General features: G+C 44.0%; 1 protein-coding gene across 30 annotated transcripts in view; it reads right to left on the bottom strand.

Moving 5' to 3' along the window:
• TAF1 (TATA-box binding protein associated factor 1) overlaps window positions 1-12,144 on the bottom strand; it is a 164,169-nt gene that overhangs the window by 129,409 nt on the left and 22,616 nt on the right. For 23 of the 30 annotated variants that reach the window (NR_104395.2, NR_104391.2, NR_104392.2 and 20 more), the window contains 7 exons: window positions 11,452-11,532; window positions 8,399-8,548; window positions 8,123-8,242; window positions 7,641-7,816; window positions 6,872-7,050; window positions 3,651-3,864; window positions 2,380-2,545 (listed from right to left, as the gene is read on the bottom strand). Coding sequence is in view for 21 of the 30 variants with exons in the window: in NM_001440852.1 (NP_001427781.1) it covers window positions 2,380-2,545; window positions 3,651-3,864; window positions 6,872-7,050; window positions 7,641-7,816; window positions 8,123-8,242; window positions 8,399-8,548; window positions 11,452-11,532 (1,086 nt within the window). In the remaining 9 variants the exon portion in view is untranslated. Of the gene's footprint in view, window positions 1-2,379; window positions 2,546-3,650; window positions 3,865-6,871; window positions 7,051-7,640; window positions 7,817-8,122; window positions 8,247-8,398; window positions 8,549-11,451; window positions 11,533-12,144 lie in introns of those variants that run through there. The other 7 variants (XM_047442398.1, XM_047442402.1, XM_047442392.1 and 4 more) reach the window with 2 other exon arrangements.

The raw sequence follows: 12,144 nt of genomic DNA, 5'->3' as shown, positions 1-12,144 counted from the left end.
AAAATCAGGTAAGAAGAATAAAGAGAAGATTTCCACTCCCAATTTAAGTTGTAAACTATGAAAATATTAAATATGCAGGAGACAAGCTGTTGGAAGCCCATCTACATTCAGCAGCATCATCAGCCTGCTGGGTGTATTCCCATTCTCTAGTCAAAACAAGAAAAAGGTTCGATGACACCAAGTCTCCATCTCAGTTTTGCAAATGAGTAGCTCTGGTATCCTAGACCTCAGTTTCATCTGTAAAATGGGGCCAATACTGTATCACACTTATCTAATGCCACATACAAAAAGGAACATTAAAACACTTAATGACCTCAGTATGCATTAAGAACAGTTTCATTTGTTGAATATTTTATAGTTTATAAAGTGCTTCCCCTGAATTATATCATTTAATACAACAACACTGTGGACATATCATTTGATATTAGAGAAAACAAGTTTGGAGAGGTTAAGGTCACAGACCTATTAAATGGCAGAAACAGAACCTGAATTCAGATCTTCCGTTTCCAAGCTCATGGCTCTTTCCACTGTACCACAACTGCCTCATCTTAGGATGCTTATTACAATCACAGTAGTATCTGTGATCCTAAGTTATGGAAAACAACTTGTATGTTTTACTTTTGTTGCTTCTTTTAATATGTACAATATTTTAAAGGTACATATTTAAAAATATATACACACAGACAACAGACATGAAAGTACATGTTAAAAAACCTACCAAACTTGGGCCAAAAGCAGTGGCTCATGCGTGTAATCCCAGAACTTTGGGAGGCCAAGGTGGGAGGATCACTTGAAGCCAGGAGTTTGAGATTAGCCTGGCCAACATAGTAAAACCCTGTCTTTACTAAAAATACAAAAAATTAGCCAGGCATGGTGGTGCACGCCTGTAATCCCAGCTACTCGGGAGGCTGAGGCACGAAAATCTCTTCAACCTGGAAGCCGGAGGTTGCAGTAAGTGGAGATCACACCATTGCACTCCAGCCTGAGCGATTAAGCAAGACTCTGTCTCTAAAAAAACCAAACAAACAAAAAAAAACCTACCAAACCTATCTCAACTCCTAGAAAATATTTCAGATAAAGAATAAGGCCAGGCATGGTGGCTCATGCCTGTAATCCCAGCACTTTGGGAGGCCGAGGTGGGCAGATCACCTGAGGTCAGGAGTTCAAGTCCAGCCTGGCCAACATGGTGAAACCCCATCTCTACTAAAAATACAAAAATTAGCTGGGCGTGGTGGCGGGCGCCTGTAATCCCAGCTACTCGGGAGGCTGAGGCAGGATTGCCGCTTGAAACGGGAAGGTGGAGGTTGCAGGGAGCTGAGATGGCGCCACTGCACTCCAGCCTGAGCAACAAGAGCGAAACTCTGTCTCAAAAAAAAAATTAGCTGGGCATGGTAGCACATGCCTGGTAGCACAGCTACTTGGGAGGCTGAGGCGCAAGAATCGCTGGAACCCAGGAGGTGGAGGTTGCAATGAGCTGAGATTGCGCCATTGCACTCCAGCCTGGGTAACAGAGTGAGACACTGTCTCAAAAAAAAAAAAAAAAAAAAAAGAATAAATAACAAGCCAGGCGTGGTGGCTTATGCCTGTAATCCCAGCACTTTGGGAGGTGGAGGCTGGTAGATCACCAGGTCAGGAGTTCGAGACCAGCCTGGCCAAAATGGTGAAACCTCGTCTCTACTAAAAATACAAAAAATTAGCCAGGCATGGTGGCAGACATCTGTAATCCCAGCTATTCGAGAGGCTCTGGCAGGAAAATCGCTTGAACCCAGGAGGCGGAGGCTGCAATGAGCTGAGATCGCGCCATTGCACTCCAGCCTGGGCAACAGAGTGAGACTCTGTTTCAAAAAAAAAAAAAAAAAAAAAGAGAATAAATGACAAGCCGGGCATGGTGGCTCACGCCTGCAATCCCAGCACTTTGGGAAGCCAAGGTGGGAGGATCACTTGAGCTCAGGAGTTTGAGACTAGCCTGGGCAACATGGCAAAACCCGGTCTCTACAAAAAATACAAAAATTATCTGGGTGTGGTGGCACGTGCCTGTAGTCCCAGCTACTTGGGAAGCAGAGGTAGGAGGATGGCTTGAGCCCAGGAGGCAGAGGCTGCAGTGAGCCGAGATCATGCCAGTGCACTCCAGCCTGGGCAACAGAGCCAGACCCTGTCTAAAAAAAAGAGAGAGAGAACAATAGCACCAGATTTGGTGTGGAATTGTCAATACCACTCACATTAGTATTGAGAACACCCCCAAGTAGTCACATCAATTCAAACCAGCTTTCCACAATATACTTCCCTCATTCCCAGTAAAGGAGGATATCAAAAGCTAAAGGAAAAGGTATACATTCTTCCTTTGCTCCGTTAGCTGTAATCACACCACATTATACTTACTTTTAGGTCAGGACGCTCCTTCATTTTCTTGGGCTTCTTCTCAGGAGGACCCTTAAGCTTCTCCTTTTCCTGGTTCCTCTTAAGCCGCCTCAGTTGCTCTTGAATCCTCCGCCGTTCTTTTCGCATCTCTTCCCGATGTTGTTCATCAAAAAGGGCAAATTTTCGACTGAACAGTGTGAGCAGCAGAGGAAGAAAAATCACAGGACCATAAGCAAACCTTAACCAAGAAGACTATCGTGATAGCTAACATCTCAGGACTAAAGTAATCCATCCAGGCTAAGATAAAAGGGGCTACATGCCATTCCCATCTCCCTCCCTAGTCAGCCCTCCATTTGCAGAGGTAACTCTCTTAGAATAAGTCCTGAGTAATCTCTAAGGTTTTTTTTTTTTTTTCTTTCTTGAGACGGAGTCTCCCTCTGTCGCCCAGGCTGGAGTGCAGTGGCGAGATCTTGGCTCACTGCAGCCTCTGCCTCCCAGGTTCAAGCGATTCTCCTGCCTCAGCCTCCTGAGTAGCTGGGATTACAGGTGCATGCCACCACACCCAGCTAATTTTTGTACTTTCAGTAGAGACAGGGTTTCACCATGTTGGTCAGGCTGGTCTCGAACTCCTGACCTCGTGATCCGCCCGCCTCAGCCTCCCCAAGTGCTGGGATTACAGGCGTGAGCCACCGCGCCCGGCCAGTAATCTCTAAGATTTTTGCAAACCAACCAATCAAAATGCAAAGGACCAAAATGGAACAAAACATGCCTTCATCTCGTGGCAAATACCGAATAGAATTTTCCCTGTAATTTGGCTCTATTCAAACCCAATCTAAAGGCAAGATAGTTCTCAATTACAGCAGAGTTCTAGAAATAACTGTGAAGAATCCTGTCACTAAAATTCAAGCACCCACCCCAATCACCATTCCCCACCATTATTACTATTCTCCCTATCACACTCGAAAGTGGTGAATCAGGCCAGGTGCCGTGGTTCATGCCTGTAATCCCAGCACTTTGGGAGGCTGAGGCACGCAGATTGCTAGAGCCCAGGAGTTCAACACCAGCCTGGTCAACATGGCAAAACCCCATCTCTACCAAAAATACAAAAATTAGCTGGGCATGGTGGTGCATGTCTGTAATCCCAGCTACTCTGGAAGTTGAGGCATGAGAATCACTTGAACCTGAGAGATGGAGGTTGCAATGAGCCAAGATCACGCCGCTGCACTCCACCTGGGCCGCAGAGCAAGACTCTGTCCTCAAAGAAAAAAAAGGAAGTGGTAAATCAAACTCACATGAATTCCTCATCTTTTGTAGTCCGTATGCGCACATAGGCATCAATGACAGCTGGTTTTCGGACTGTCTCACAGCGAACATACTCTTTCCCCTCTTCATCTCGAAACGTGCGATAAATCTTGAGACAGCGTCCAGTGGCAGAAGAGTTAAGGCTAGTCACGGAAGCTGTGTCATCATCTCTGTGATTGTTTCCGGATGCTGCTGAGCCTGCTGCTGCAAGGTAGGTAGAAAAGATTTCCAAACGTTCCCCTTATCTCCCAAATGATCATTTTCTTGGGATTGAGTGGAGCTATCAAAGTTCAACATGCCACAAAACTATGGTTCTACAAAAAGCATCAAAGTCATCATCAGCCCCAAGAATATGCTGATTTGTCCTTTCCTGACTTCATTTTAGGCACTGCCAATTTCCCCACTTTTTTTTTTTTTTTTTTTTTTTTGAGACAGGATCTCTCTCGCTCTGTTGCCCAGGCTGGAGTACAGTGGTGCAATCTCGGCTCACTGCAACCTCCACCTCCCAGGCTCAATCCATCCTCCCAGCTCAGCCTTCTGAGTAGCTGGGACTACAGGCGTGTACCACCACACCCAGCTAAATTTTTGTAGAGACGGGGTCTTGTCACATTGCCTAGGCTGGTCTCTAACTCCTGGGCTCAAGAGATAGGCCAGCCTTGGCCTCCCAACATGCTGGGATTACAGGCCTAAGCCACACGCCTGGCCAATTTCCCAACTTTTGTAAGTACAAAAAGTTCTGAAAAAACCTCAAAGAACTACATGTTTGCTATAGGAGATAGAGAAGCAGATTCCTCTGAACAACAGTGCAAGAGAAAAGACCATGTAGGAAGTGGGTGATGATCACATTACAGATAAAAGCACACAAGGCCGAGTACAGTGGCTCATGCCTATAATCCCAGCATTTGGGGAGGCTAAGGTGGGAGGATCACTTGAGCCCAGGAGTTTGAGACCAGCCTGGTCAACAGAGAAGACACTGTCTCTACAAATTTAACTAGCCAGGTGTGGTGGTACACACCTGTGGTCCCAGCTACTCAGGAGGCTGAGGTGGGAGGATCCCTTGAGCCCAGGAGGTTGAGGCTGCAGTAAACAAGCCATGGTTGCACCACTGCCCTCCAGCCTGGGCAACAGAATGAGGTCCTGTTTCAAAAAAAAAAAAAAAAAGTACCCAAGCACGCAACTCGGGGGGGAAAATGGCACTACAAAAAACAAGTTCCGAGTCTTAAAGCCTAACATAAGCTTCTCAAACATTAATATGAATAGGAATCACCTGAGGATCTTGTTCAAATGTAGGTTATTTTTTTTTTTTTTGAGACGGAGTTTCACTCTGTCGCCCAGGGTAAAGTTCAATGGCGTACTCTCAGCTCACTGCAACCTCTGCTTCCCGGGTTCAAGCGATTCTCCTGCCTCAGCCTCACAAGTAGCTGGGATTACAGGCACCCACCATCATGCCCGGCTAATTTTTGTACAAATGGGGTTTCACCATGTTGGCCAAGATGGTTTTAAACTCCTGACCTCAGGTGATCCGCCTGCCTCAGCCTCCCAAAGTGCTGGGATTACAGGTGTGAGCCACCACACCCGGCTGCAAATGTAGGTTCTAATTTAGTAGATGTGGAGTGAGGCCTGAGATTCCACATTTCTAATTCCCAAATGATACAGATACTGTGTTCCAGGACTATACTAGAAAACATAGATGACCACATTGGTGGAAGGGCTATATCACATTTTTACAAAGGACCCAAAACAATGAAATTACACAAAACTTTTACAGAAAAGAGGAAACAAAGGGAAGACTACTGTGACTGAGAAGCCATATAAATCTTCATCATCAGCCTTTATCCTCTCTCGCAGTATCAACAACCAAGTTTTCAACTGCCTCTTTAACATGTATACTTCAAGGGTGTCAAAGGGACCTCAAACTCCACATATTACACATTCCCTTCCTAACTTCTTTTGAGACAGGGTCTCACCCTGTCACCCAGGCTGGAATGCAGTGGCGCAATCTCAGCTCACTGCAACCTCTGCCTCCCAGGCTCAAGCGATCCTCCCACCTCAGCCTCCCGAGTAGCTGGAATTATAGGTGCCTGCCACCACATCTAATTTTTGTATTTTCTGTAGAAACAGGGTTTCACCATGTTGCCCAGGCTGGTCTCAAACTCCGGGGCTCATATGATCCTCTCACTTCGACCTCCCAAAGTGCTAGCATTACAGGCATGAGCCAGCATGTCAGACCTTGAAATTCACTACTTTAATCAATGGTACCAACATCTTTCTAGTAATCCCAGAGTGAAATCTTAAGGTTGCCTTGATTTTCATCCTTAATGCCCTCCATATCCCAACCCAATTCAGGTCTTTATTATTCCCACCCTCAATTTCTACAATTTTAAAACTCTTTTTATGGTCTAAGACTCCTTCTGAGGGTCTTCTGAAAGCCATGAATGTTCTCAGAAAATGCACATTTAAGGCCAGGCGCAGTGGCTCACGCCTGTAATGCCAACACTTTGGGAGGCTGAGGCAGGCGGATCACTTTGAGCTCAGGAGTTCGACACCATCCTGGGCAACATTTTCTATAAAATACAAAAATTAGCCAGACATGGTGGCACGCACCTATAGTCCCAGCTACTCAGGAGGCTGAGGCAGGAGGAATACAAAATACAAAAATTAGCCAGGCATGGTGGCATGCACCTATAGTCCCAGCTACTCAGGAGGCTGAGGCAGGAGGATCGTTTGAGCCTGGGAGGCGGGGGCTGCAGTAAGCTAAGATCACACCAGTGCACTCCAGCCTGGGTGACAGAATGAAACCCTGTCTCCAAAATAAAAAAATAATAAAATGCACATTTACATATTTTACATGTAATTTCAGAAGTTTCAAAGATAACTCCCTAAATTCATTTACAAATTCTGTATTAAAAACTCTTACCCTCTAGGATAAATGCACAAAAAGCTCATTTGAAGTACAGCACTAATAGCCCAGGCTTGGCCAGGCACCTGATACAGAGGCAGTTAGTGGAGTGGCATCATCTCTGCAATTGGTCCTCCACAGACAATCCTAGAGTCCAGTTTGTAAAAAGCTTTCTACTTCATTCACAGACTTTTCTACATGCATCCCTTACATCTTCTGCCTCCAGATCTCCCTCAATTACAGTCTGCAGTTACGTAGGCTCCTTTTTTAACCCTTCTCTTTTTTATCTGTCTGTGAAGCCAAGATCCTCACCCAGTAGCATTCGCTGTAGTTCCTTCCGCTCCTGTTCCTCCCGTTCACGTGAAAGCTGAGAGCTGGTTTTCTTGTTCTGCAACATGTTCTCAATGTTCTTTCCCATTTCTTCAAAGTCACTATCTTCAGCTGAGCTGCTGTCTGTGTCAGTTGATAAGACTTCAGTTGATGACAGAACCCTAAAAAGAGAAAAAGCAATGTGCAGAAAGAACTAAAGAAATATGGTTGCAGGCAAAAGTAAAAAATTGGGAAATCAACCTTAAAAAGGCATACTCAAAATCCACTAAGACATGGGGCCCTTAACAGAAAAGCTTTACAAAGTTTTCCTAGACATTTGGTCAACAAGATAAGTTTGAAAAATTGTAGTAACTCTTTCAGAATTCCTGGAGACAACTTGATAAATAAATCAGCACACTGGTCATTTTTAATAGTGTATTAACATCCTCTCACAACTAAACCTTTAGAAAAAAGCCCTACCTGTCACCTGCTACCATTGTGCTATTTGTTAGGCCCAAGTAGGCCATAAAAGTTGTCATGGAACCTAGAACACAAGACTAGCGTTTCCTTCTGTTCAAAAATTTTGCCAAGTTGGGTTGAAGGGAATAGGTAATCTGGTGGTGGGATTACAAACATATACTACCCTGACATGTCAGATATCTGACTACCTAGGTAGTCAAACTTTTAGGTGACCTCCTCTTTATTATGAAATAGTGCCTGGAACTCCTCCCCCTTTCCAGCTTGGATTTTCTGCAGCACTAAAACGACCCACTTGTTCTGTAGGTCAAAGATGCGCTGACATTCCTCTTTGTAACGCTCTTGATGCTCAGCCACAGAAAACCTTGATCCACGGGCAAATTTACTCATGGGCCCCTCTCCAGAACGAGCCTGTTCTGTTGACATTGTGCGCACCACATCAATCACTTCCCAGCGGGACAACTTTTTAATCTACGAGACAAATAGCCACACACAAATATAAATATACACACACACACACACACACACACACACACACACACACACAAATCATTCAGGGATTTCAAAGGACAAGCCAATGTACACAGTTAGACCAAAAAAGAAAAATCACCCCAAAGCAGATTACATAGAAAGATAACTCCTAAAACAATATCTAAGACTTAGCTTACTATACCCTACAATAAAGTTCCCCAGATAGTTCTTTACATCTGCCTCCTAGCAATTCCAACTCTATACAAAGCCCCTAGTATACTCTAAATTTTCCACTTCCACACTCACCTCTTCCTCAGGCACACCAAATTTACGTAGAAGTTGCTTGGCATTTTTCAGGGAAAGGCGACGAAGGTCTGCATCTGTTCCTGTCACTGTCTTCTTCACTGGCTGCGGTTCTTTATCATCCTACCTCAAACAAAAAAAAGTGAGACTCCTAAAAACCTGAATTCCTTTTAAGTAGGCATCTAAGTCATTCTGCTACCTTAACTACATTCCAAGTCCTCCACTCACCCATTTCTTTCTCCCTTGACTTTTTCATTCTAGAAATAAACACAATCTCACCTTCTGCTGTGTTGGTTTGTTTGGAATCTTCACATAGGAGAATCCTTCACCACACCCCGTGGGATCTGCCACCCCAGTCACCTCTAGCAGACACTTGCCCTTCATGGCAGCAATGAAGGCCCTTGTGGTGTTCCAAGGGGCAGTGCGAACCTGAGATAAAGAAAAAGATTCTCAGGGCAGTGGGAAACATTTGTTCTATGTCTAGCCAATATCTACAAGAGTAGAATAATTACAAACTATTTTCATGTTCTTTTTTTCTAATTTTTAATTTCTGTGGGTTCATGCTCTCTTAAACTGTCCACAAAAATCAACAGTTAAATATAGCTACCTAGTACTCAGTTCTCTTCTATCCTATGGTACAATACTTACAACATGATATTAAATAGAGGTCAAGAGCTCAGGCAGGATAAGGAGAAAAATAAAGAACAGTGGTATCCCTTCAGCCCCTTATCCCTTGGGCTTCAATAAACATTCTTAAGGACAGTGTTTCCCTCACCCTCATGATGCTCAAAATTAGACTAATGACTACATTTGATTGTCCAATTGCTCAAACAGCTGTTTTAGAATGAAACCTATTTTCTCGAAATACTTGACATGCTTGCTTTCAAAGCATTGGCCCCTTTTCCAGTGACACTAAACCAAAGTCCATTCTATTTCTGCCACTGGTTTGGTCAAAAAGGTCTGTCCTCTCCTGGGACCCTGAATAGTGTTTACCAACCCCTGCAAGATTCTTAAAGAATTAAGCCAAGGGGTGAATGTGCCTGCCCACACAGACCAGTCAGGAGTACATGAGGCCAGGTGTGGTGACTCACACCTGTAATCCCAACACTCTGGGAGGCTGAGGCGGGCAGATCTCTTGAGGCCAGGAGTTCAAGACCAGCCTGGCCAACATGGTGAAACCCCATCTCTACTAAAAGTACAAAAATTAGCCAGGCGTGGTGGCGCACACCTATAGTCCCAGCTACTCAGAAGGCTGAGGCACGAGAATGGCTTGAACCCAGCAGGCAGAGGTTGCAGTCAGCAGACTGCACCACTGCACTCCAGCCTGGGAGACAGAGTGAGACTCTGTCTCAAAAAAAAAAAAAAAAAGAGTATATATGATTAGCAAGAAAATGGCCATTCTCTAAGGTTCAATCTGGAAAGCCATTCAACAGAATTCTTTTTTTATTTTTAATTTAAAAAAAATTGTTTTTCTTTTTTAGAGACAGGGTCTCACTATGTTGGCCAGGTTGGTCTTGAACCCTTGGCCTCAAGTAACCCTCCCACCTTGGCCTCCCCAAATGCTATGATTACAGGCCTGAGCCACTGCGCCTGGCCTCAAAAGAATTCTTAATTTCTGAAATTCTTAGATATCCACTCATTTTTCATTCCAACCTCAAGAGAGTAGTACAACGATTCTTTACTCACTCTGTGTGGCCTCATTTTCTGCTTCATTTTATAATCACTTAATTCATTTAACAAATATTTATTGAATACCAACTACACACTACTCCTCCATACTACTTTTTCATGAACCTCAAGTTAGTGAGGGAAAAACAGCCAACCAAGTTCAGTACTATGTGATCAGTGCCACGGGAAGAAAGTAGAGGCCAGGCACAGTGGTTCATGCCTATCATCCCAACACTTTAGAAGGCCAAGGCAGGACGATCGTTTGAGCCTAGGAGTTCAAAATCAGCCTGGGCAACACAGTAAGATCCCATTTCTTTCTTTCTTTTTTTTTTTTGAGATGGAGATTCGTTCTTTTAGTCCAGGCTGGACTACAATGGCGTGGTCTCAGCTCCCGGCAACCTCCACCTCCCAGGTTCAAGTGATTCTCCTGCCTCAGCCTCCCAAGTAGCTGGGATTACAGGCGCACGCCACCACGCCCGGCTCATTTTGTATTTTTAGTAGAGTCAGGGTTTCACCATGTTGGCCAGGCTGGTCTCGAACTCCTGACCTCAGGTGATCTGCCCGCCTCGGCCTCCCAAAGTGTTGGGACTACAGGCATGAGCCACCGCGCCCGGCCGTGAGACATTTCTACAAAAAATTTAAACTATTAGCTGGGTGTGGTGGTGTGTGCTTGTTGTCCCAGCTACTCGGGAGGCTGAGATAGAAGGACTGCTTGAGCCCAGGAGTTCAAGGCTACAGTGAGCTGTGATCTCACCACGGTACAGCCTGGGTAACAGAGCAAGACCCTATCTTGGGAAAGAAAAAAGTAAAGGGGTACTATATGTACATAATGAAAGGAGAATTATCATCCAATCGAAATCCAGGGTGGAATGAGGGGAAAAGTCCAGGAAAGCTTCCCAGAGAAAATAACTTGTAGATGAGAGTCAAATGGCAGAGGAGTGGAGAAAAAATATCTCAGTAGAAGACATAACTGAAAAATTCTGAAAGGGAAGAGAAATTTAGGAAACTGAATGAACTTCGGTATGGTTGGAGCTTAGAATATAAGACAGGCAGTGACAGGAGATGAAAGGAGGTCAGATTAATATGCAAGGCCCAAATCATGTGAAGTCTTATAAATCAGGTCAAAGTCTTTTTTCTAGAAGAAATGAAAATCCTGCCAGGTGCAGTGACTCATGCCTGTAATCCCAGCCCTTTGGGAGGCCAAGGCACGAGGATCACTTGAGGTCAGGAGCTCAAGACCAGTCTGGCCAACATGGTGAAACACCATCTCTACTAAAAATACAAAAAATTAGCTGGGCATGGTGGCGTGCAACTGTAATTTCAGCTACTCGGGAGGCTGAGGCAGGAGAATCGCGAGAATTGCAGGAACCCCGGTAGGTGAAGGTTGCAGTGAGTCGAGGTCATGCCACCACTGCACTCCAGCCTGGGTGACAGAGCAAGATTCTGTCAAAAAACAAAACAAACAAAAAAAAACAAACCCATATCATATAAAATATAATATTTGATATATCGCATCATTTTTTCTGGCATGAATAAAGCAAGAACATCTAACAGTATACTTTAAATGTGTACAGTTTATTTTATGTTATCTCAATAAAGCTGTCTCTTTTAAAAGGATAAATGAGATGTATTAATGACTAATACAAACTAGTATAAAGCCTTACTTCATCATCAATCTTCATCTGGAAATCTTCCTCATTTTCTTCTTCTGGAGCAAAAAAGGATTTCTCACCATAGCCAGCATCCTGGAAGAGGACAGATCCATGCATAAATCAGTCAGTTAAAAAACACAAAGCACAAGTTTTTTTTTTACTGAATACAAGTACAGAATACCAAAGTCTATTTTGCATAGATGGATTCCATAAAGTCTTCACTATATCTAACACCACGGCACATCCTTAAGCTATAAGATACATTACAACATGCCAAGGAGCTTACTAGCTGATATACAGATAGTTACAGCCCATAAGCAAGCTGAACAGAGATGCTCAATAACTGAGTCTCATTAACTCAGTGGGACAGAGCTGTGCTGTCACACCTCAGCTGGACCTTTTCTCTTTTGGCCTTATAAGAATTCTGTGCTTCTCTAAACCACACATTCAGCACCATCATCATCTCTGCCTACCTGAGAGGCTGACAAGTACTTTCCCTGCTTATATGCTTATCTTGCAAAGAAGAGATTAAAGTCACCCAGTCACCATTTTCAAAGCAAAACAATATGCCCAAAGTTCCTCATTATGCCTTCCCACTGATACTTAGCTACACTATAGTTTTTCTCCAGAACTGATGTACGTAGAAGTACTTTATACAAATTGAACTTTTTAGTAATTGGTAATAATCTAGTAAACCATCCTCCC

This window comes from Homo sapiens, chromosome X (assembly GCF_000001405.40).
Source record: "Homo sapiens chromosome X, GRCh38.p14 Primary Assembly".
Taxonomy (NCBI): Eukaryota; Metazoa; Chordata; class Mammalia; order Primates; family Hominidae; genus Homo; species Homo sapiens.
This window is presented reverse-complemented; position numbering and strand designations above follow the sequence as displayed.